The 24,878-nt window shown below is 43.2% G+C and overlaps 1 protein-coding gene across 13 annotated transcripts in view, besides 6 other annotated features; it reads right to left on the minus strand.

Annotated features, from left to right (window-relative positions):
• VGLL4 (vestigial like family member 4) overlaps positions 1 to 24,878 on the minus strand; it is a 165,749-nt gene that overhangs the window by 41,747 nt on the left and 99,124 nt on the right. For 11 of the 13 annotated variants that reach the window (XM_047449259.1, XM_024453835.2, XM_024453836.2 and 8 more), the window contains one exon: positions 4,020 to 4,209. In XM_047449259.1, coding sequence (XP_047305215.1) covers positions 4,020 to 4,209 — 190 coding nt within the window. Of the gene's footprint in view, positions 1 to 4,019; positions 4,210 to 6,510; positions 6,769 to 12,442; positions 12,558 to 24,878 lie in introns of those variants that run through there. The other 2 variants (XM_011534269.2, NM_001284391.1) reach the window with 2 other exon arrangements.
• Positions 2,782 to 3,076: a silencer, noted in NCBI's record as "tiled region #8254; K562 Repressive non-DNase unmatched - State 15:Elon". NCBI's record gives its function as "represses a minimal TATA promoter and a strong SV40 promoter by Sharpr-MPRA in K562 cells {active_cell/tissue: K562}" and the evidence as "EXISTENCE:reporter gene assay evidence [ECO:0000049][PMID:27701403]".
• Positions 3,462 to 4,060: an enhancer, noted in NCBI's record as "H3K27ac-H3K4me1 hESC enhancer chr3:11642749-11643347 (GRCh37/hg19 assembly coordinates)". NCBI's record gives its function as "activates a minimal SCP1, AML or CMV promoter by ChIP-STARR-seq in primed H9 embryonic stem cells {active_cell/tissue: H9 hESC(primed)}" and the evidence as "EXISTENCE:reporter gene assay evidence [ECO:0000049][PMID:30033119]".
• Positions 3,462 to 4,658: a biological region, named in NCBI's record as "H3K27ac-H3K4me1 hESC enhancers GRCh37_chr3:11642749-11643347 and GRCh37_chr3:11643348-11643945".
• Positions 3,933 to 4,372: an enhancer, noted in NCBI's record as "active region_19430". NCBI's record gives its function as "activates an Ori minimal core promoter by ATAC-STARR-seq in GM12878 lymphoblastoid cells {active_cell/tissue: GM12878}" and the evidence as "EXISTENCE:reporter gene assay evidence [ECO:0000049][PMID:35858748]".
• Positions 4,061 to 4,658: an enhancer, noted in NCBI's record as "H3K27ac-H3K4me1 hESC enhancer chr3:11643348-11643945 (GRCh37/hg19 assembly coordinates)". NCBI's record gives its function as "activates a minimal SCP1, AML or CMV promoter by ChIP-STARR-seq in primed H9 embryonic stem cells {active_cell/tissue: H9 hESC(primed)}" and the evidence as "EXISTENCE:reporter gene assay evidence [ECO:0000049][PMID:30033119]".
• Positions 11,711 to 12,483: an enhancer, noted in NCBI's record as "H3K27ac-H3K4me1 hESC enhancer chr3:11650998-11651770 (GRCh37/hg19 assembly coordinates)". NCBI's record gives its function as "activates a minimal SCP1, AML or CMV promoter by ChIP-STARR-seq in naive H9 embryonic stem cells {active_cell/tissue: H9 hESC(naive)}" and the evidence as "EXISTENCE:reporter gene assay evidence [ECO:0000049][PMID:30033119]".

A 24,878-nucleotide genomic window follows, 5' to 3' on the forward strand; every position in this document is an offset into this window, starting at 1 on the left:
GGTGAGCAGCAGGACCCAGACCAAACCCCTGGTGGTTCGGTAACAATATCAACAAAAAAATTAATAATGAGTTCAAATACACCAGGTCCTAAGAGGCTGGAATAAAATCCCAGGAATTCTAATTTTCAAAATTCTGAAGAAATCACTAAGGAAACCTCTCTTTTTTTCCCCTTCCCCTAAATCAAACTGGATAGAACTCAGTCTTACTCTCTGTTGCCTTTTTTTTTTATAAGACATCATCTCGCTCTGTTGCCCAGGCTAGTGCAACGGCATGATCTCGGCTCACTGCAACCTCTGCCACCTGGATTCAGGCAATTCTCCTGTCACAGCCTCCTGAGTAGCTGGGACTACAGGCGCACACCACCACACCCAGCTAATTTTTTTTGTATTTTTAGTACAGACAGGGTTTCACCATATTGATCAGTCTGGTCTCAAACTCCTGACCTCATGTGATCCGCCCACCCTGGCCTCCCAAAGTGCTAGGATTACAGGCACGAGCCACCTCGCCCGGCCTCTGCTGCTTCTTACTCTGGCTCAGAGCCACCTGATCTCTCCATCTTTCTACTAGAAAATGTCTCCATATGATGCTTATAATAAAATGCAGCCAAACCGTGCACCTTTCAGGCCTTGTTAGCTAGCTACCGAAACTATTTTTTCTTTCTTCCTCTCTCTCTCTCCCTTCCTTCCTTTTTTAGAGGCAGGGTCTCCCTTTTGTACCCTGGCTGGAGTGCAGTGGTGTGATCACACCTCACTGCAGTCTTAAACTCCTGGGCTAAAGCTATCCTCCCACCTCAGCCTCCCAAGTAGCTGGGAGCAAAGGAACACTCCACCAGGCCAAGCTAATTTTTAAAATTTTTTGTAGAGATGGGGGTCTTGCTATATTGCCCAGGCTGGTCTCAAACTCCTAGGCTCAAGCAATCTGCCTGCCTCAGCCTCCTAAAGTGCTGGAATTACAGGCATGAGCTAGCACACCCAGCCAAAACTCTTTTCCAATAACACTCCTTTCCCCAGAATTATTATGACTGCTTTAGTGATAAAATACATCACATTTTCATTACATGTTATTAACAAACTCTAAGAAGATAAAGCACAAAAACCATTTTGTAATCTCCTTAAAGAGATACACTAGGCTATTCCTTTTCAAATAATTATGAATCTGTCATTTATTGCAGATAACTTCTTAGGCATTAAATATAAAGGAGGGAGCATGCTATAGCCCAAATAGGAAACATTTCATCAAACAGCAGCACTAAATACCCTACAACACGAAGAAGTAAGACAGGCAGCATCTTTCCAATCTGCCTGTGAAATCTGTCATTAGGCTCTTAGAAAACACAGTACAAACAATGGTAATGTTACTAAAATAACTATCACACAGTAAACAAGTAACACTCAGAAGGACCTAACCACACGCCAATCGCCTTTCCTCCTTACACTGTACACTTAAGAAAATACATTTTATAATATATATATTTTTTACCACAATAAAAGAAAAATGAGGGGGGAGTCACCTGGCTGGTGTAAGGGAGTCTGAGAGAGGAGGTTACTCCTGTTTCTATTTTCCTAAAACTTTGCATAATAATGTCAATTGTGATTTGCACATAAAATTTGGCGATTCTATTATTTACACTTAAAATTATTTATAGTGTCATCACAGACCCGTACCTCAAAGTCTTATTTTTAGCCACCAAGAGAGCTACAAAATTATTTTCTTTTTTTTTTTTGAGACAGAGTCTCGCTCTGTCACCCAGGCTGAGTGCAGTGGCGCGATCTCGGCTCACTGCAAGCTCTGCCTCCAAGGTTCAAGTGATTCTCATGCCTCAGCCTCCCGAGTAGCTGGGATGACAGGCATGCACCACCACACCCAGCTAGTTTTTTGTAATTTTAGTAGAGACAGGGTTTTGCCATGTTGCCTAGGCTGGTCTCGAACTCCTGGCCTCAGGTGATCCACCCACCTTGGCCTCCCAAAGTGCCAGGATTACAGGTGTGTGAGCCACTGCGCCTAGCCACAAAATTATTTTCTGAACATTTTAATATTCTAATAATAATATTAACAATGACTAAAGCTGAGTACTTACTATCTGCCAGGCACCATTCTTAAGTCCTTACAATAATCCTATGAGGAAGGAATTAATATTATCTGTGATGAAAGATAAAGAAAGTGGGAATTGAACCCAGGCATTTTGATTAAAAGGCACATACTATCAAACATTAAATCCACCATATATACATATGTATATTTTCTTACTCTCTATCATCATAACCAGTATCTGAACAATGGAATAAAAATAACAACCCCCATCAACAAAGTGCTATACCATGCCAAGCTCTTTGCATATTTTAACTCTAGTCCTCGTAATAGCTCTATACATTAACTATTATCATTGTCATTGTCATTGTCCAATGACAAGGATATCACTGTCAAGGATACTGGGCCCAGCTAAATTAAGTGACTTGTCCAAAGCCTCACAGCTGTTGTGTGGCAGAATCAGGATTTAAATTAAGGCATGTTTGTCTGCAGGCTGCCTTCCCCTTTCTTACTTATGAAAAGAAAAAGAAAAAAAAAAAAAGACCAAATGTTCTTATTTGGGTTTGGGAAAAGCAGATGGGAAAGTATAAGAAATTCGTGGGAATAAAAGAATGAACTGCAAGAGCTGAGCACCCAGGAGTTAAGCTAGCCCTGCCTGCGGAGTGCACTGTTTGCAGGGCCTTCCTGCTGGATTCCTGATGGTAGCAAATTCCAGGGCTCCAGACTGCAGGCTCAGCCTCTGACTAACACTGCAGTGATTTATTTGAGGATAAATACCTCTGTCAGTGTCTTATGACTGAACACAACAGTCCAAGCTGACTGGAACGAGCGGAATGCGAGGACGCTGGAGCTGAGGCAGTAGAGGCGGGAGCTGGGCCACCTCTCTGCGGAAACTCTGCCTCCAAGGAGGAGCCCTCACAGGAAGGTATTCCTGTGGGGAAAAAGCAGTGCCCTCAGGAATTGGAGCATCTTGAATAATGAGGAAACACTGACTCATGCTAGAGTGAGCGCTTGGGAAGGGGGAAGGAGGAGGACCTCTGTACCTGCACACACAAAGCTACTCCCTCCAATACTCAGTGCAACCTTGCCAGGATTGGCAAGATAACTCCAAGAACACCAACCGCCCTCACCACTGTACCCGTAGACTCTCTGGGCAGCTGGTGGGGCGTCTCCAAGTCCTGAAAACTGGGGAGAAGCCTCTCCCTCTGCGAGGAGGGTGTGTGCCGAGAGGAGAGTGCAAAGGGGAGAAGCCGGGTGCACGGAAGCGGGAGGCTTTTCCAGTGGAAACATGGTGACGTTGCACAGATTCAGGGATCTGTGGTTTCAGCCCGTGTTTCACAAATAACAAAACTGAGGCCCAAAGAGTTGAAGCAATTCATGTCAAGAAGGTAGACAGTGTCAGTGGCAGATCAAGGACTGGCTGGATGTGGTGAGTGGCACCTTGTCATGAGCATAGGAAGCTGGCTTCCCTTTATGGGAAGGTCCCAAGTTTGTACCAGGGGCACATAAGGTGGGATGAACACTTCTTCGTGTGTACAATCCTAGACTCCTGAGTAAGAACTTTACAGACGTCTGCTTGGTCAAAAAGGTGCTGAGCTTCCCTTCTATTTGTCTGGTGCACAGTGACATTCACTAAATGTTGATTCTCCTAAAAACAATCAATATGTATGGGCAAAAAAAAGCGAAGCTTAGCAGATGACTACTCGACTGCTCGCAGAAGCTCTAAGGGGACATTAACTTCTATGGAGTTTAACATGCGGAAGGTCCTACAAGTAGGCTGGAGGGAAGCCAGACTTCCACCTCACCGCGAGTTATCAAAATGAGTTTACTACCTTCTTTTTGGCAGATGAATACTATTTTTCTTTTGTAAATAATATCCTTTTCAAATAAAGTATGCAAATGATAACATCAGAATTAGCACAAAGTTGCAAAACAAATAAGGCCCCAGCACGGAGCACCCTTAAGCCAAAATAAGAACAGAGGAACTCACAGATGGGGGTTGAAGATGCGACTCATTTTGGAGACGTGGTCGTTGTCACAGTCTAGGTCCTCGTCACCTGGCTCCATGCTGAACTTCCTCTTGCTGGGGCTGATTGGGGGAGGGCCGGTGCGGTGACTGCTGAGGGCAGAGGCCACCGGCAGGGTCTGTATTCTGGGTTCTCCCCTGAGAGCAGCTTCGCCTACGCAGAGAGAGATGATGTAGTCACTAAGCAGGAGAAAGGCCCCCATCTCAGTCCCCCAGGCTCCCCGCCCGCCCAGCCAGCCCCTTACAAAACTACTCCCAGTGGAAAGTTTTTGGCAATGGGACGGGGCCGCCTGCCATCCTCTGAACATGGTTTGAGTGTGGTTAGCTGCCAACCATGAGACATTTTACATCAACGTGGTTTTCTAGCACAGTCACTCTTTAGGGTAGAGTTTAAAATAAAAAGTTGCAATAAAATAGCAGGGGGGAGGCAAAAAGCATTTTCTGTAAACAATTTCAAAAGTTAATTTAAAACACCAAAGGTCTTTTCACGTGTGGGTATTCCACTCGATACAGATAGGAGAATGACCTCACTGCATTCATGAAACCACTATGCCCAACTCACTTTTCCTGCTTGTTCTGTTTTTTTTTTCTAATATAGTCTTGGTATTTAATTTCTTTTAAAAGAATGAGGAAAGTGTGTGGGCTAACAGTTCACACATTTGTACCGAAAGTTAAAAGAAATATAAATACATCGTTTAATGGGAAATAAATGTTTAATTCTTACAGTACGCTAAATATTGCACATTAAAATATTATCAGCACAAAGCTTCGGCATATAACTTATCGCAAGCATAATACGTGGGTAGGTGCAGTTCTGAAACATGTTTCGAAGTTAGGCAATCAAATTAGGGTCCACATTTCCATTTGATTTGACATCTTGGCGTTTTTCATTATTATTTTAAAAGGTTTTGTACTAGGCAATCACTTTGTGCCTCGCTGTGAATTAAAATAAGCATAGCCTTTCATAGTAATAAAGCTTGTGTACCTTCTAAACTTTATAAAGACGAATGATTACTTTAAGAGAAAACTTCAAACTTTCTAAGTCACATGGGGGGAGCACCTAAATTTTTCACAAATAATAACCCTTTTGTTGTGCTGTACATTTTGGTCTCTCGGACCTGACCAATTTTCTTTCCATTTGGTCACAATTTGAGAGTAATACGAGGATAAAGTCAACTTCATCCGAGGCCTTGTGGTACCTAAGAAAAGGAATCTTTGTTTGCCACCACTAATTTTCATATCATCACAGATGTGTGGACAGTGTTAACAGTCATTTACTTCATACACATATGACAAATATGATTTTGTTGGAGAAAGGAGTGAGGAAAAACCCTCTGAATATTTACCAGGAAAAATAAAAACTTGGCCAATTTACTCAGCAAGATATAAACTAGCAAATATACAGTGACCCATAATACACCTCCAGCCAGGATTTCTTTTAAGGATTCTGGCCCCAAAGCAAACTGGAACTTTCCATTTTAAATGAGATACCTAAAACACAGGCCTCACGCTGGCCTGCCACACTCAGAAATTCAGTATGATCTTGGTTGGCCTATACTCCCTATTTAGTAATTTTCATTTTAAAAAACAAAAAAAGCAGTGCTCATCTTTATACCTTCATAAATTAGAAAAATATCCTTTCTAATTATCTCCGTTATTTGTGATACTTCCTCCTCCACAAAGAGAGAAGAGGGTGTTTCCAAGGGAAAGCTTCAGAAGCCCAAGCCCAGCTAACTTTCTGGGAAGCCCTGATGATACCCCCAGGAACGCAGCAACTGCAAATCAAACCTCATCAAAATGGCACCAGCTGACCCTCCTCTCCACCCAGGGTTTCTCAACACCCCTGGCAGGATGCGAGGGGATGAGGAGTCCTCGGGCTTGGACCCCCGAACTGTGGTCATCATTTCATCAGATGCCAGCTGTGTAGCAACAAGAGTTGCTATGGAAAACAACCACTACAGCAACAGACTGAAATCACTCCAAAAAAGGAGCCGTCACTCATTCCACCAGCATACACTGTGACGCGGAAAGCAAAACCCTTGGGTTAAGAACAACATTCCCACTCCCCTCCCCAGTTTCCATCCTAGTAAAAATTCTCGTGCTTGTTTGCATTTTTAAGTTCATCCAACGGATGCAGTGCTTATCTTTAAGACTGAATCACTGATGTCTAACATCGAAAAAAATTCCACAAGAATCCTCAGAAAACACTGGAGATTTCTAACCCACGGGTGGGGGTGGGACCAGGGCTGGGGCTACAGGCCCCATGAAGGCACTCCAGGTGTCCTTCACCAGGGACTGTGACAGACGCCTCCACCAGGTCCCGGGGAGACGGTGGTAAATGCGTGCTGTAGTACTTCAGCATCTCAGCTTGCCGGCGCCGGAAGGAGCCCAGGAAGCACGGTTTGCCTCATTTGATGGATGACGAAGCTGTGCCCCAAAACATAGCGTGACTTACCCAAGATCCTCCAGTTAACAGGTTAGCTGGAGGCAAGAACCCATGGCCTCTGCAATCAGACAACGCCTCATCCTAAGACTGTGCAGCCTCACACAAGGCTTACAGCAAAGGAAAAGAATCCGCACATAAGGTCAGGGACAGGTCCGTTCAGTTATGTGCCTTTATGCATCTTTGGGGCCCCTCCCTAGATGGCCTTAACCCAACACTTGTATGTTAGACAAGAGTGGTAACTGTTGTATGTGTGGTGGGGTTAAAATTATTTTTGTAAAACTGAAGCAGACATTTGTTCTGGGAGATAAGACACTTGCATTGCAATCTTGACTCCTCCTTTATTTAGGATGGGGTGAATTTGGGCACGTGCTTCCCCTCTCTGGGCCTCCCTCCATACAACAAGGGGCTGGACTAGCTAATGTGTCATGTTCTTTCCAGCTCTTAGAATTACTGATGCAATTCTATGATCAACAAGTGACCAACCAACTAACCAACATTTACAAAGAAATTGCTACTTGTGTAATGGTGAACTAAGACAGCAAAACTCAAGGTATGTACCTCAGATGTTATTCATCGAAAAAAACAAGGGTGACCCTGGGGTCAAATAAATTTGGAAACCGTGAGATTGAACAACTTTTACAGGAGTTTAACTACAGGCCTTTCTGTCTTCTAATGCATCTCAGTCTCTGAGATGGAAACCCCGCAGGGCTGCTTTCCATCGCCCGCCACGCCCCCGCCCACCCCCAATCCTCCACAGCTCTGTGAATTCCATCTTCCAAAGCGCCCCCACGCCCACCCCCCACCCCCAATCCTCCACAGCTCTGTGAATTCCATCTTCCAAAGCGCCCCACGCCCCCGCCCACCCCCAATCCTCCACAGCTCTGTGAATTCCATCTTCCAAAGCGCCCCCACGCCCACCCCCCACCCCCAATCCTCCACAGCTCTGTGAATTCCATCTTCCAAAGCGCCCCCACGCCCACCCCCCACCCCCAATCCTCCACAGCTCTGTGAATTCCATCTTCCAAAGCGCCATTCTCAGCATGTTGGCCCATCCTCACCCCAGATATCCAGTGACTGCAGACTTCTTCTGCATTCGAAACCCCAACTGCCTTTCTCATTTTTATTCCTAGTATTCCTCTTTATGAGCCCTGAAAATTTCAGCCCAGTAAGTTAAACTAGACTCATCACCATTCCACAGAGAACTTGTTCTTCCCCCAATCTTCTCATTTAAGTTCATACATCCTGCAAAACCACTTAAAATGCCTCCTCCATCAGGCTGTCCTCCTTGATTCCTCCAGCTGAAGGTCATCTCCTCTTCCTCTGAACATCTATAGAAACTTATCACTCTGGTGCTTCCCTCCCTACTTTATTTTGTGCTCCTGGAAGCAGGTGGCATTTAATTCATTTAATAAACCTGACAGTGCAGAGCACAACTGACCTACTGAATCAATGAGGCAAGGTGACAGGGTGGGCAGTTTACAGAGCTTTAGGATATGTTAAAGATCAAAGATGTTATAGAATAAGGAGTGTTTAAAGATCTATTTAAAAATATAAGAACTCTTACAACAATTAAAAAGATAACAAAAAATAGAAAAGGATCTAAATAGGCATTTCCGAAGAGAAGATATGAAAATAGCCAATAAGCACATGGAAAGATGTTGTATTAGTCTGTTCTCACGTTGCTGATAAAGACATACCCGAGACTGGGTAATTTATAAAGAGAAAGAGGCTTGATGGATTCATAGTTCCACATGCCTGGGGAGGCCTCACAATCACGGAGGAAGCCGAAAGGCATGTCTTACATGATGACAGACGAGAGAATGAGAATGAGAGAAAGGGGTGTTCCCTTATAAAACCATCAGATCTTGTGAGACTTACTACCACGGGTACAGTATGGGGGGAAACCGCCCCCACGATTCAGTTATCTCCCACCAGGTCCCTCCCACAACACGTGGGAATTATGGGAGCTACAATTCAAGATGAGATTGGGTGGGGACACTGCCAAACCATATCAGATGTCCAACATCGTCAGCCATCAAGGAAATGCGAATCAATACCACAAAGAGATACCACTAACACCTGTTAGGATGGCTATGATCAAAAGACAATACAAAAGTGTTAGCAAGGATGTGGAGAAGCTGGAACACGTGTACGCTGCTGGTAGAATTGTAAAGTGGCATTGAGAGGTGAGGCCAGCTGGACTTGTAGGTTGGGTGAGGACTTAGAGAACTTTTCTGTCTTACAAGAGGATTGTAAAATGCACCATCAGCACCCTGTAGCTAGGATTGTAAAATGCACCCAATCAGTGCTCTGTGGCTAGCTAGAAGTTTGTAAAATGTGCCAATCAACACTCTGTAAAAACACATCAATCAGCTCTCTGTGGGTAGCTAAAGGTTTGTAAAATGGACCAATCAGCACTCTGTAAAATGGACCAATGAGCAGGACATAGGCAGGGACAAATAAGGGAATAAAAGCTGGCCACTCCAGCCAGCAGCAGCAACCCACTCAAGTCCCCTTCCACGCTGTGGAAGCTTTGTTCCTTTGCTCTTCACAATAAATCTTGCTGCTGCTCACTCTTTGTGTCCGTGCCACCTTTAAGAGCTGTAACACTCACCGCGAAGGTCCCCAGCTTCATTCTTGAAGTCAGCGAGACCAAGAACCCACCAGAAGGAACCAACTCCGGACACAGCATGGCCATGGTGGAAAACAGTCTGACAGCTCCTCAACTGATGAAACACAGAGTTACCACATAACCTAGCAATTCTAGTCCTGGGTACATAACCAAGAGAAATGAAAACAATGTCCACACAAAAGCTTGTACATGCATGTTCATAGCAGCATTATTAAAATAGCTAAATAGTGGAAACAACCAAAATGTCCATCAACTAACAGATGTAAAAAATGAAATATCCATGATGTAATATTATGCAGCTATAAAAAGGAGTAAGATACTGATTCATGCCATGACACAGATGAACCTACAAAACAGTATGCTGAGTGAAGGAAAGCAGACACAAAAGGCCACCTACTGTCTGATTCCACTTCTATGAAATGTCAGAAGAGGGAGGCTCACAGGCAGAAAGCAGGTGAGTCGGTGCTGGGGGCTGGGAGAAGGGGGAATGGGAGGTGACAGTTCACGGGTGGCAGGTTTCTTTGGGGGAATGACAAAAACCTTCTAAAATTGATTGTGATAAAAGTTGCATAACTCTAAATATGCTAAAAACCACTGAAGTGTATTGTAGACTTTAAATGGGTGAATTGTATAGTATGTGAATTATGTCTCAGTAGAAATGTTACCTCTTCCTCCTCCAAAATAAGAATATATTTATAAGCAGTATAAGGCTCCAATATCATTAGATTCTTTTTTCTCTCAGGCTTTTCACACTAAACTATTAAACAATTAAGAACAGGCATTTGTGAATTTCCCCAGAAATAAAAACAAACCTTTTGTTATTACAGTTACATCTCCCTAGAATATTAAAGTCAGATAATTTTTAAAACATTATTTATTAAGCTAAAAAAAGTCAAATCAGTGAAACACTTGAGGTGACTTAGGCTCTTGGATTCATCAGATCCTATAAAGCTGCAGCTCAGCTTTTAATCAGTGTGTCGAGTGCCTGTGACACACTGAAGGCTGTGCAAAGTACTGTCACAAAAATACATGATGAAATGTATACAGACCCTGACCACAAGGGTGGGAGGCAAAAGCACATACACCAAAAGGAACTTATCTTGGGAGTGCAAGAGGCTTTTCCCTCTTGTTCTAACATGTATTCGAAATTTCACAATGGTCTGGCAATTGAAAAAGGAGAAAAGATTATCTTTCTTTTTCAAGAATAAACAGAAGGAAGATTTGAGCTGAGTAACCCCGTATTTTAAGCTTTACAAGTTGGCTTAACTACAACTGTCAGTTTTACTTCTTTCAAATTCCCAATGACAACTAAAGAAGTTTTATTTTTTAAATGTATTTGGCCTTTTACATGAAGATAATTTTATCTAGGCACACGTTAGAAAAATGCCTAGATAAAATGAAGAAAAATGCCGAATATATACAAAATTAACTCCTGTGGTTTTTTGGCATGGTGGCAATTCTAACACATGGATCAATAATATTCCTTCAAATTTCCCCAAAGAAGATAAGCAAAGATTTTGGCCTAAGATTTCACAAGAATCAGCATGTTTATTTCAATGGCAGAGAAGTTTAACAGAGAGAAATGAAAAGAGAGAATCACCTCGCTTTATGCTGTGCTATAATATGATTTTGACAAAATATCACAAGAAAATTCTGCTTTCAAAGTCAAAATAGAAAGAGGGGAGGAGAACAGGGAGGAACCGTGGAAAATGTAACCCCACTGTAATCCTGTCATTACCATATCTCAAAGATTCTAAGACTATTTCCTACATTTTAATATTGCTAAGACTGAAGTTTATCTTACAAATAATTGGCATATATTAACAGCCAAGATTGCTTCTTTTTCAGTGGTACATAAAATAATGATTCACACAGAACCTAACTCCAGAGGCTTCAAAACAGCACTGGTCTCTTCAACCTCCATTTTTTTTTGGAGACGGAGTCTCACTCTGTCGCCCAGACTGGAGTGCAGTGGCGAGATCTTGGCTCACTGCAACCTCTGCCTCCTGGGTTCAAGTGATTCTCCTGCGTCAGCCTCCCGAGTGTAGCCGGGACTACAAGTGCTCGCCACCATGCCTGGCTAATTTTTCTCAAATTTTTTAGTAGAGATGGGGTTTTACCATGTTGGCCAGGGTAGTCTAGAACTCCTGATCTCAAGTTATCTACCCACCTTGGCCTCCCAAAGTGCTGGGATTACAGGCCTGAGCCACCGAGCCTGGCCTAACCTCTGTTTCTTTACTCACAAAATTAAGTGGTTTGATTAGATCATCTTGACAGCCTCCTTTTGGCTCTAATGGACTACATCTTCCATAAGAGATACATCTTCTAAAGTTAAGTTTCCTTTTACTGCTCATCAAGAAATACTTTCCAAACTTTTACAGAACACACTTTACATAGTGGTAGAAAAAGCAGATTCAACAAAGCAATCAACTAACAAAATTTTTTGAGATTAGCTAATTATTAGCATCTCATGATTAAGGGAGATTTCATTAAAAAACAAGGACTCTTCTAGTTCTCAAAGTTCCAGCAACATTCATTTATTCGAATACTACAAGAAAGTTGTAGCCAGCTGAAACCTGGACAAATAGAATCTGGTTCACCAAATGCAGATTCGATTTTCATAGAACAGAACAATCAAGGCCATGACCTTCAACACAGAGATGGGGCGAGTGATTGGGTTTCAGGGGGATTAATGGACTCTCCCAGGGATAAGGCGGCGTTAGCAATGGGAACCCGGGTCTCGGCCACATGGCCCCTCACCAACTGTGCAGGCCCATCGCCAGACTGGGGTGTGGGCTGCATGGGAGGCGATGGCATGGCTCTGAGCAATTAACCAAAATAATGGTATTTATGGGCATTTTCTGGAGATTAGACCAACAGCACAGGGTGAAATGAGAATGTCTTTATGGAGAAGGAGAGGGTAAACTACAGTCAAATGTATCTTGCTGTAACTTTTAAGGATAGATTTTTGACAAAGATCTCTATGCCGTGCCGAACAGAGAGTTTAAGTCCACAACTTAAATCTCCGCTGTGTCTAAGGCTTTACGTTCAGCCCCCCTCCCAGCCCCTTTATCATGTTTGAACCTAAATCAAAGAAGCAAAACCATAGCTCGGTCGGCCAAGCCAGCCGCGCTGCACTGATGTGTCTCCTTCAGGCTGACCACAGCCCATGGCAACCGACTGACATCATGTCCTGGCGAGAGGGCACCCTGGTAAGAGGACCCTGCTCCCAGATTCCACGCCCCTCTCACATCTCACCCTCTCATCACTGTGCAGGGCAGAAGCCCCCGGCAGCCAGGGCTTACTCACTTTCTTTCAAATAATACTTCTTTGTCTCACGGTCGAGCAGCTGGGGAGAAGACACCGTGAAGTCAATCTCCTTCAAATTGTTCAACTTGTGGCTAGCCCCATTCTGGCTCACTTTTTTCTTTTTTTATAGGACGCCCATTGCAATGCGAGCCGGCAGATAAAAGCCGTGACGTGCTGTCTGCCCAAGCGCAAGGATCGCCTGCAATCCCCCAGCCCTTGGGTGGCAACACAAAGCACCTCTCATACTATAATGCTCTGGGCGGCCCCAGGCTCAGCTCTAATCGTGCAGAGCCTGACCTCGCCTCGGGGGAGCCGGCTGGACTGGGAAGGGCTGTGCAGGGTCCACACCCTGGACTGGGCTTGGTTTGAGCAGCTCTACTCTTTTTGTTTAAGAGCAAAGATGAGATTGTGTTGAGAGAGTACAGCCTCTATCTTGGACTGCTAATAATATAGATAAGGATAACAACAGCACAATAAAACTGGTAGAAGTGAAGCATATGCCATCTTCACTAGAATTTCAAGGAATCTAAATCATTTCATACACACTATACTTTGTAGAAGCCTTCCTGTATCTTCTATGAGTGTGTTTTATTTTATAAGCGTATTACAACATGATCTATTGTTCTGACTTTTCTTAATGCAGCCCTGTGAGGGAGGCGGGGAAGAAGAGCTCCCGCCTTGCAGCCGGGGAAACTAGTGTTTCAAGAATTAAGTGAATTTCTCAAGGTCGCAAAGCTGATTAATGGAAGCACTGGAAGTAGAAACCTGGGATTTAGACTCCCCAACTTCCATCATCTTTCTAGGTGTGCAAGATGCTTCACTGGTTGAGGAAAATAAATGGGAGGAAGACAGTTGAGGAGGGAGGAAGGCGGAGAAGAGAGGGGGAGGGGGCGGGAGGAAGGGGAGCTTATTGGCTGAACCATGCCCACCCCTGGAATTAACACGTTAAAGTCCCAAACCCCAGTACTGCAGAGAACATGGCTGTATTTGAAGACAGAGACTTTAAAGAGGTAATTAAGGTGAAATGAGGTCATTAATCCAATCTGACTGTTGTCCCTATAACAAGAGATTAGGGCAAAGACACATTGCAGAAAGGCCACCATGCGAGGATATGGGAGAAGAGAAGGCGGCCATCTGCAAGCCAAGGAGAGAGCCTGCCGGAGAAATAAGCCCGCTGAGTCTTTGATCTCAGACTTCCAGCCTCCAGGACCAATGAGTTAATACATTTCTGTTGTTTAAACCACCCAGTCTGCGGAATTTTCTTCTGGCAGCCCCAGGAAACTAATCCAGAGAGGAAAGAAGAGAGGACGGGACTGAAACCTGGTTCTGACACCAAAGATGAACAGCTGCAACTGTCCCATCTGTCTGACCTAACATAGTGGGACTGAGATGAAAGCAACTGAACGTACAGATGCCGCTTCCAGACCAGAACCACCTGAGCACAGGAGGAAACAAACACATGGACTGGCAAGGGAGGAGAATGGGTTTCCTGGCTGGGCACTGGGCAAGTGGACAGCTGCGGCCTGCCCCTCTGACTTGGTGATCATCTGCCCTGCACTAGCCAGAGGAACCTCGACCTCCCAGGAATTCTTCTGCTTGCCTGTAAGAGAGGAGGACTAGGTTTGTGTTCACAAACCAGGCTGGGGCCTCCTTTGGATGGGGAGGCAGTGGGTCTGAGGTGGGACCTGCTCCCAGACATGTCGTACTGATGATACTGGTGCAGGAGGGATGGTGTCTGCTGGCGCCTCTGGTTTTAAGTATTAATAGCTATAATTTTACAGGGGCTGAAGGGAAAAAGATAAAAGAATGCCAAAGAAATTATGTCTATAATTCTCAACATCTATTGTGAATATACACTAGTTTTTTAATGAACTGCAGTTACTCTGAATACCAAAAAGCACTAAAAATACTTTAAATTAAAACTTGTTATCACATCCACACATTGTTATTCATTTAATTAGGAAGTTCTATACTGCTTAAAATCATTTTATTATCTTCAGGGCTAATAGAAGTCCCTGCTGTCTCATTTACCCTGTTGGATTTAGTTTACAACTGAACTGTATCTTGATAGACTATGTAACACTGCAACCTCCGTGGAATTGAGTAAGTGGGGTCAAACTAATGTCTTACTATACATATCATTTTGGCTTGAAGAAAACTCAGGTATGTAACACAACACAAACAGCCTGAAGATCATCAGATCTAGGTTTGAGGTTGGGTTTTAGCTTTGTAAATCATAAGATTCAAAAAGATCAAACACAAAACAAACAAAAAAGAATGAACACTCATCCACTTCCCTGGTTTCCCGATGCAGATTTAGTAACGACACCTACCTTCTATTCTTGGTCCTCCATTCCCTAGACTCTGGCTCTCAGGTAGCCTCAGAGGCCTCTGAGTAAACTAGGAAAGTGCAGTCCCCGCTTAGAGTGCGAGCTCCGCTGTGGCTGTGCTCGTGCAGGCTAAGGACTGGCATCTGCCTATTAGAACAGTGGTCCAAAGGGTCACATGCACTGACATGGCCCTGACACATCACCGGTGAACCCCAAGGAGACAAAGCCAGCTCAGAACCTTTAACACCAAGTGCACAGTCCTCCTTAATGGAAAAGGCTCTTAAAGCCTGGCAGAAATTCTGCACTATATTTACTTGCAAATCTACTTTTGTAACATTTTACTGTTAATGAGGAGGAGGAGAGTTATGAAAGTAAATTGTTAGCAGATGGTATTGGAATCAGGCACTTTGCTGGGGGCTCAATTTCCTCCCTGGTAGAGCTTATAAATGTTTAGAAGGAGTAGCTGGATGAGGGTAAGCAAAAAAAAAAAGAGGCTTGTTCAAACCTCTTCAGCAGTTGAGCCAAGCCTCCGGAGGGACCCTGGTTGCCACGAAACAGAGGGATTAAGCTGGTAATGGTATGATCTCTTCAAAATGTAAGTGTTTTGGTAAAAATACTCAAAAAACTTCTGTCTGCAAGCCCTGTACCATGTGACAGGTTAAGCACCGAAGGTCATATGCTACCATCTGCATTTTCAAGACATTCTTTAATTGGAGGGAGTTCCAGAGGGTACGACTGCCACAGGCCCTGAGATGGTTGAGTCCTGGAATCAGGCACTGATCACTAGAGGGGGAAAAAAGAGACACAGTCTTGCAAGTGCAGAGAGAGAACAGAAAACTAAACTTTCCCTCTTCTGATCTCCCGTAACACTCCGAGCCTCTAGAATGGCCCTGCCCACAGGCTGCCTAATGGAAGAATTCACCACGTGCTGCTCTTCTCTGTAATACCTCGCACGTGGTCCCGGGTACTGTTCTGGGAGGCACGGAGCAGCTCATTCATTTCTGTATCCCTGGCCACTCTACCAGTGACAGAGAAACATAGTAGAAAGTGGGCTGTGGAGTCAGAAAAATGTATGATCTTAGCAGTCTCTTCATCTCTCTTGAGCCTCTATCCAACTACCGTGAGGGATTTCTATGCGAATCAATGAGAATTCATATAAAGGTCCCAGCCCAGAACAGGCAATTTATTTATTACACTGTTTGTTGGATTCCATCTGTTGGTGCAATTCCCATTTGAAGGATAAGATGGCTGAACAAAGGGAACCTCTAACTGTCCTTCTCGCTACTCATGACAGGCCCCCGCCTCGAATACAGTCAGCCACTAGCCGATGGAAGGGGTCAGGAGACACAGTACCCAAGAGCCTGGGTGAGTGGGTGCTCCGAATCTGCTCCACCAGGAGCCGGCGACGTCATCTCAGAGCAGCTGCCTGACTTTCTATGACTGTTTCCACATGTGTGAAAATGGTAGTGTGAACCCACACACAGGCTCAGAGCGATACCCGGCACGGTGCCGCCTCCTCCCCACACACACTCTGGACTTACAGGCTTTCTTCCATGCACGTTTCTCCCTCCCTAGAATGTGTTCAGAAGCCCTCTCTGCCAATGCATACTCATCTGCACTTTCAAAACCCGACTTGAGTGCCTCTTGTCAGCCTCAGCCCCAAGAGCACCCCTTTTGGTGCCATCTACCTGGGCTGAGCTGCCTGGCAGCGTCCCTTGTGACGTGCTGCTGGCTCCAACTCAAAAACTACTCATTTCTCAGCAACACCATTGTGTGCTACCGCCAAACAGGCGATCTTGCTCTCTGCAGTAGGTTCCAGTCCAGACCCTGAGGAGTAAGATGGTGGTCCCGGAAACCAGTTCAAATTTCTCACTGGCATACAGAGTGCTGAAGGAAGGCTGTGTATAGGCCCCCCGATTCTGATCGTGAAATCTCATTATCAGTTCCAAGCCCCCCACGGAGCTGCAGTGGGCAGGTAGCTGGGACGAGACACATTCCCAAGTCAGATATCTCAGCCAGCCATCCAGGTTTCCCACGGAAATTCATTAACTCACTGTATTCCTTACTATTGCTAAATATGCTGGTTTCAGAAGCCACAGAGTGAATTTTCCAAGGATTAAAATAGGACACGAAGTTCAAAGATGTCTCAGTCCTGACACAGTGGAAGCAGCATTAGGGACTTGGGCACGCACACCATTCGAGAGCCTGACAACCCTGAAGACAAGTAAAGCGAGTAACTTAAAGTCAGCTTCAGTCAACCTTACTGCTGAAACAGCTACATGCCCAAGTAAATCATTTTAATTTTTCCAACTTTTAATTTCAAAAAATTTTAAAGCTACCCAAAAAGTTGAATGAGAACAAGAACATCCCATTCTCTTTACCTTGATTCACCTATCATAAGCATTTTTGTCAGTTTGTTTTAGCTACATGCATACACGTTTTCTTGCTGTGATTTTTGAAAGTATTAATAAGTGGGAGACATCTTATTTCACCCATAAATACTTAAGAACAGGGACATTCTCCTTCAGAGCCACAATACCATTATCATACCCAACAAAGTTAAAGTTGACGTATTGTCATTATCTAATATCCAGTTCACATTCCAACTTCCCGAACTGACCTGTCTCTTTTTTGGTGGCAGGGAGGGTTGGGGGAGGACTTCATTAATTAAGGGTCATATGCTGCTCAGTGAAGTTGTCATGTTTCTTTAATCTCCTTTCATCTAAAGGAATTCTTTTCTCTTTCGTGACACTGATGTTTTTAAATAATGCAGACCAATGAGCTGTCCCTACAAATTTTGGTGGCCTAATCATTTCTTTATGATTAGATCTGAGTTAAATCTTTTTGGCAAGAATACTACCCAGGTGATACTGTGTGCTCCCACCGCACTGCACCACACCGGAAGGACCTGGCGCCAGCCCATCCCATCACTGGGGAAGCAGAGCCTGCAGTACACACAGATTGCTCCTTGCTCTGTTAGAAACAAGTAAGCTCCTCCCTTTTGTAGTAATAGTTTGGGGGTGTGAATCCTGTCATTGTCACTCAATCACATACTCATTTTTTTGTTTGGGTTCTGTTTTTCTATTATTTTTATTTCCCATACTCATTTATTACACACCTTTAATTTGCAGTTTGAGAGTGCAGAGCTAAGCTGGATTAAAGACAGGGTCCCCAGATACAATTCAGCACAAGTCCAACTGGGGACACATTTTCATACAAAACACATTGAAAGAAAGACAGACAATACAATCAGGAGTAGCTTATACTCTGCCTGGAATAAAGCAGGTGCTTAGCAAATATTTGTTGAATAAGGGACCTGTATGGTTCAGGCAAATAAAAGCTATTAGGCCAATCTGCATCCTTTCCATTCTTCCTTCTCACATCACCTCACCCCTGGGGCTGAAAGGAAGTCTTCGAACGTGGCCACCCTGCCTCCCACCACGAGAGATCAGGATCCCTGACTGATTGGATTGCCGGAGTAAAGGCTCAACTGCCTCAACCTGATCAGCCCATCTCACCCTCTCTCTCCAGCCTTACCCATCTCTCTTTCTCTTCCCTCCCCCGCCCCTCAGACTCCACTGCTCCTGAGGTGTGGTCTGCACACGCAGGGGATGCCTCCCACCTCCCCTCCCACCTGCCTGGAACAGTCCCTCACTTTCAGGTCTGGTCTAGAGTGCAAGCCTCACCTTCTTCAAGCTCTTCCTCAGCAAGTAAGTGTTCCTTGGTCTTCAGTGTCTGAAAACATTTACAAGCATCCTGCGTTATGGCTCTTAATCCTATCGCCTAACGGTGGTACTATTTACAAACATTTTCACATGGCTAGGAAGCCTTCAGGCCACTTCCTAGACCCAGCTCATTCCCTAGGGCCTCCTTTCCTTTCCTAGAGCAGGCTCCAGGGATAAGCCCTGTCCTTGTCCTTTGCTATGTCCTTTCATAAAAGCTGCCACCCATGCTCTCTTATTGAGACAGTCCTCATCCCAAAACGATAGTGAAGTGGGACTTGTGTCCCTGCCACATCACCCCAAAAACTGACACATGGACATGGAACCTTTATTTAAAAGGCTAATTGTTGAATCCAGTCCTGTCTAAAGAATGTATACAATTTAGGACTGGCAGAAAAAAAATCAGAGGATGTGGTTCAGTGAAAGGCATTGTTGTGCCTGGGATGTTTGTAGGACTACTCCAGGAACTAAGGAAAACACACAGATGTTTGAGATCTGGTCTTTGCCTCGAAAATTTTAGTTCTAGTGGGAGTGATAAGTTATGGAGATAAAGAACTGTAAGGATGGAACATTATAAATGCCAAAATAAATCAGATGCTCTTGAAATGGGTGAATTGCATGGTATATTAGTTATATCTCAATAAAGCTGTTACCCCCAAAGAGCTTCTGGTTATGTAGGTTAATCTACTGACATTTATCATAGTAGGAATTAAAATGGGGAAGTTTTAAAATATTAATTAATTTGAAATAAAAAATAAAAAGAGATGCACTTTTTATTTTTTTAAAAAAAGAGAGCGATGCCACACACATTTTATATGAGGGAGACAATAATTCTAACTCTAACAGGAGTGGGATTTGAAAAACAGGCAGGATTTGGACACTTAGAAATGATGGGTATGAGCATTCCAGGCAGGTACAAGAGTATGAGGCAAGGCAGAGAGCAGGAATGATGCCATCTTTGTGCGAGAGCAATGGGACTAGAACAACGGGTTTGTTTCCTTAGACTTAAGGCTGGATACAGAGAGGTGGGTCAGATAATAAAGGGCTCTGAACACAGGTGAACGGCTGAGACCTGACGAGGCGGGTCACTGACAGGGAGCCACTGTAAGCACTGACACAGCTACAGGGAGGCTTCCGTGAGGGGTGCTCCAACACACCATGCCAGATGGGTGCACACACCTGAGTCAGGGAACAGGGCAGGGACGCAAGCGTTACGTGAGGAAGCTTCAACAATGTTCCTATCAGTGAGGATGGAGAAGAGGCAGGTTGAAGACACATTTTAAGGAAAGATCAGAGAGCTGGTATTCCAGCTAGTATTATACATTGACCTGATCTTTCCGAAACAGGCCACCCTCAGCTTCTTCCTAATAACTCTCTCAATGTTGACCCTTCCTTCGTATAAATTGAGAAACTATGAGATGAACAAGCCAGGAAGCTACACTTGTTCCCTAGCTTATCAATATGTAACAAGGAAGAGTGAGTTAGTGCTAGAACTCCATATTTTAAGTTCCACAGGTTGATCTAACAAAGTCTAATTAACCTCTCATATTTACATTTCAATCACTGTCAGGTGACGTTTTTATGTACTAATAAGATTCCATTTTTATTCTTGAAGAAAACTGTCAGTATACTCATTTTCTTTAAACAATTTAGATGTCCACTGTTTGATGGCAGGGGTTGTGCTAAGAGCTTCCATTTATCCATGATTAATCAACATTTATTCAACAGACATTTCCTAAAATCTGAGTTGTGAAGAACATCAAACAAATCAAATAATAATGCATACTTATAGAGGGAAAAATCTGAATACCGATGTTTAAAAACTGACTCCAATGAAATCTACCTATATTAAAATAAACCAATTCTAAAAAATCATCATCCTTCATTAGATTGGTGTCAGGCTAATATACAGATATGTTGGGTTTTTCACAGTATATGGTATATTCTGGAGTGCTTTTACAGATAAATTTTACTCAATAATTATAGTTTATGTAAGCTATTATTACAAGATGTCTGTATTATCCAATAAAAAAACTAAGAGGCTATTAGAACTGAAGTCAAAAGTATGTGACTAGCTTGAGAAAGTATTAAAATATTTATTGGAGAGTTACTGGAGAGTCAAACAGCTAATTTCATACATGGGTAAGTAATTAAATACCAAAATGTATTTATTTCTTAAGAAAAATGGCTTAATAATGGTGTTCAGCATAACCAAAGAATAGGTAAATCTGTAAAGCTGCTTTTTAAAGGTGCAATTGCAGACTTATTCCACAGATTTTAATGTTAATGGGAAATCGTAAGATCCTTATGCAAAAATTATACACAATCAAGGACTTTTGTTTCCTTACCAAGCTCCAAGAAAAGAGACTATTAAATAATAAAGTAAAAAAGTCATAGAATTTAACCTGAAAACAAATATTCCATTAGCATGTAAAATTTAATGTGTTTCCTAAACAAAATCATCCCCATGATGCCAAGAAGTTTTCTACTGGAGTGTGAAGGTGAAGGAGGTTTCCCCAAATTAATCAACCTAAAATATTGGGGGATGGGGATGTTGCTTACTTTTCATTTCTATTTCTTTCTATCCTCCCACCTCTCTCTCTTTTTACATTTACATTACCCAGTGAGCAAATTTTATCAATGAGAAGCCAGGAAGGGCTGACTCCCTTTGGTATATTTACTTAAGATATAAAGGCCAATCAACCATTGTGCTCAGAAAAGTTGTGGCCGTTTCTGGGCCTACTTCAGATCTCTCCTTAGCTCCAAGTGACTTATTATGAAGCCAAAGAAAGAGGAAAACTGAGCTGATCAAAGGCCAGGCTGTCATTAAGTGAAAATGATGGAAGATGAAAGGCTTGCCCTGCACTTCAAAGGTACAGCTGAGCTCGGGTGAGCTGACAGCAAGCGATCAGGGATCAGAGAGGCAGGCGGTAGCTTAATGGACTAGATGACATTCCTAGAGCCATTCATCTTTATACCAATCACGAAAAATAGAAACATAACGACAAACATGCATTTAAATGCTTTCCTACTGGATATAAAGAAGAGTGGGTAACCCAAAAATATAAAGTGACATACATCACATCTACACTTACAGAATATAAAATAATGAGGTCCAAGAACTGTTGAAGAAGTTGGCATCTCTAAGCAGTGCAGAATTACATGTTAACAGTTTTTCCTTATGCCCTAGGGTGTGTAATGCAATGAAGCTTAATTTTGAGAGACCATGGATGCAGCAGTCTCACTTCCCTGGTGGGCTAACGCAGAACACTTGGTGTGTTGACGCGGAAGGGCGGTCAAACTTGCTTAAGATTTTGGGGTTAGAGCTGGTCTAGAGCCACCATAGGGCTGGGGAAGGAAGGTTGGAAAAATCAGGCCGATTGATGATTACACAATATTCCCCTTATTCCACCCCATTCACCCCTGTACAGTGCCCTCCCACCCATACACAGAACCTCAGCAGACAGAGGCCCCTCTAGGCAGCAAAGATGTTACATTGTAAGAGGCCTCAAGGCATTAACTCGAGTCTCCTTTCTTTTCTTTTTCCTCTGTAGGAACCAACATGCATCTAATCTTCTAAGACTCCCTAGAATGACTTTAATACAATGGAACAATATTATCTGTACTTCTGGTCACACTGGAGACTTTTCAGGGAATTGACTGGGTTTCTCCTCCCTATAGTTTATTGTTAGTGGTGGCAGCACCTGCAAAGAGCAGAGAAAAAGAGGAGAGAGTGCCACCCCCCGGCAAATTAGTAATCAGGATGTTGGGTACTGAGAAGAGATGCTCTAGAAGCTTTATATATGTGAATTCATTTCGTACTCCTATTTACCTGTGAAGTAGGCACTATCATTAGTTTCATTTTCAGGAGGAAATGGTCACCAAAAGTGGCTCAGCAACTTGCCCAAGGTCACAGCTAGAAATAGGAAAGACTGGATTTACACCCAAAGGTCTGGCCCCAGGGACTATGTTTCCAACTCCTATACCACTCGGAGAGGTTTCACAGAGCAGATGGTGAAGGGTCAGCAGGAGTGGCCCAGTGAACAAAATCCTGCAAGGTCGGCACAGCCTGAGGGGGCAACAGCACAGCACCCCTGAGCCAGCAGGGTGAGGGCAAGGGTGAAGAGCAGCAAAAGGTGCCGGAGGGCAGGGTGAGCCTTGGTCATCCAAAGGCGTTAGCACCCCAGGGCCGCTAAAGTAAACATTGATCATACGTAAAACCTTTGCTTGCACCTCTTCCAATCAGACCTGCCACTACCAAAACTCTCCTTCTCTATGGAAATTCCAGAGCTACCTTTTCTACTGAGCCACGCTAAATAAAGAGCTGGGACTTACTTCGCGGAAAATTTGGGAGCCAATGACAACATTCAGGCTGGACAACAATAAATTCACAACTCCCCTTGGCCATCTCTGTCCTGGGCCCTTGCTGACCGGCTCCACCTGGAATTCCATCCCCTCCTTCCCTCTCACCCCCAGGACCCGACCGTCCCACCCTGTGTGCACATATCATGCTCTGTAAAGATCATCTGAATGTACACGTAGGATGTCAGTTTGCTTCTTGTAAGATAGCTAGTACTGATTATAAAGAAAACAACAATTCCAGATTGTCAGCTCCTCAAGAAGGGCCCTGGGTGGGGTGTCCAGAGAGCAGCAGTGAATGCCCCTTACCACCAGACACAAAGCCTGGCACTCAGGTGTTCTCTGAATGACCGATAGGTGCCATTAGTAAGATTTATAATTGAGCTAATACTTTGCACAATATTTTAATGTAAGCAAATGCACACACACAAAGAACTTTGCAAAGAATGGAATGAATGGAGCAACAATATTCTCCACATTAAGTCTCCAACTTTTATAATAGCTTTATTGACATATAATTCACATGCCATATAATTCACCCATTAAAGTGTCTGACTCAATGTGTTTATAATTGTGGGGCTGTGCAACAATCACCATGATCTAATTTTAGGACATTTCTTCACCCCGAAAAGAAACCCATACCCATTAGCAGTCACTCCCCATATTCTCCTCTCTCCAATGCCTAGCAACCACTAACCTACTTTCTGTCTCTATAGACTTGCCGATTCCAGACATCTCATATAAACTCAATCATATAATGATTTGGTGTCTTTTGTGTCTGGTTCTTTCACTCATAATGTTTTAAAAGTTCATCCATGTTGTAACGTATGTCAGTACTATATTTCTTCATATTGCCAAATAATATTTCATCGTATGGAGAAACCGCATTTTATCCATTCATCAGCTGATGGGTATTTGGATTGCTTCTACTTTTTGGCTATTATAAATAATACTTCTATGGACATTTGTGGACAGATTTTTACAGGGATGTTTTCAATTCTCCAGTATGTACCTAGGAGTAGAATTGCTGGGTCAAATGGTAACTCTATGTTTAACATTTCGAGCAACTGCAAAACTGTTTCCAAAACAGCTACACCATTTTACATTCCCACCAGCAACGTATGAGGCATTCCAATTTCTCCACATCCTCACCAACACTTGTTATTGTCTTTTTTATTTCAACCATCCATAGTAGGCAGACCTCACTGTGGTTTTGATTTTCATTTTCCTAATGATGTTGAGCATATTTTTCTGCAATTCTTGGCCATTTATCTTCTTTGGAGAATTGTCTATTCAAATCCTTTGCCCATTTTTAAATAAGATTATCTGCCTTTGTACTGTTGAGATGTAAGAGTTCTATACATCTCAATACAGGTCCCTTCTCAGACACATGATTTATAAAAATATTTTCCCATTCTATGAGTTGTCTTTTCCTTCAAATCTATTATTATAGTTACCTACAGCCTTCAGAGGTACCAACAAGAAACCTTTACAAAAACCTAACCTTCATCTTACATCTTTTACAAAGCTTACGAATTTGATTACAAATGTTCTTCTAAATGCCATTATCTTCCCATCCGGTTTCTTGATAAGCCAGCCTATGCTGAAGCCCCAGCCATTGCTAGATACCCACCACCGATAGCTGGGTAGCAAACTCCTGGATAATAAATAACAGTGATATTTACCACTGACATTCTGGCATTTCAGAAATTCAATCTGTCTTCCCAATGCCTTATTTTAATGGTTTTTACAAAAAAAAAAAAATCATACTATTACTAGATGGCAGAACCTAATGTGTGTTTGGCCAGCCTATTTTCTTTAAAGCCATGCTGACAATGATTGTTAAAACTGCTCCCATGCTAGAATGCTCCTCAATTGTTTCCGTCTTGACACAAGGTCAATGGGGACTAGAGTAATGAAGAAATAAAGCAAAACTGAAACATTTTAATTTGGGGTCTACAAGACTATATTAACTTCTAGCAAATTAAATGGATGAGTGGTTTGCAGCCACTGACATTTATATTT

The sequence above is a fragment of the Homo sapiens genome, chromosome 3 (genome assembly GCF_000001405.40).
Source record: "Homo sapiens chromosome 3, GRCh38.p14 Primary Assembly".
NCBI classification, from domain to species: domain Eukaryota; kingdom Metazoa; phylum Chordata; class Mammalia; order Primates; family Hominidae; genus Homo; species Homo sapiens.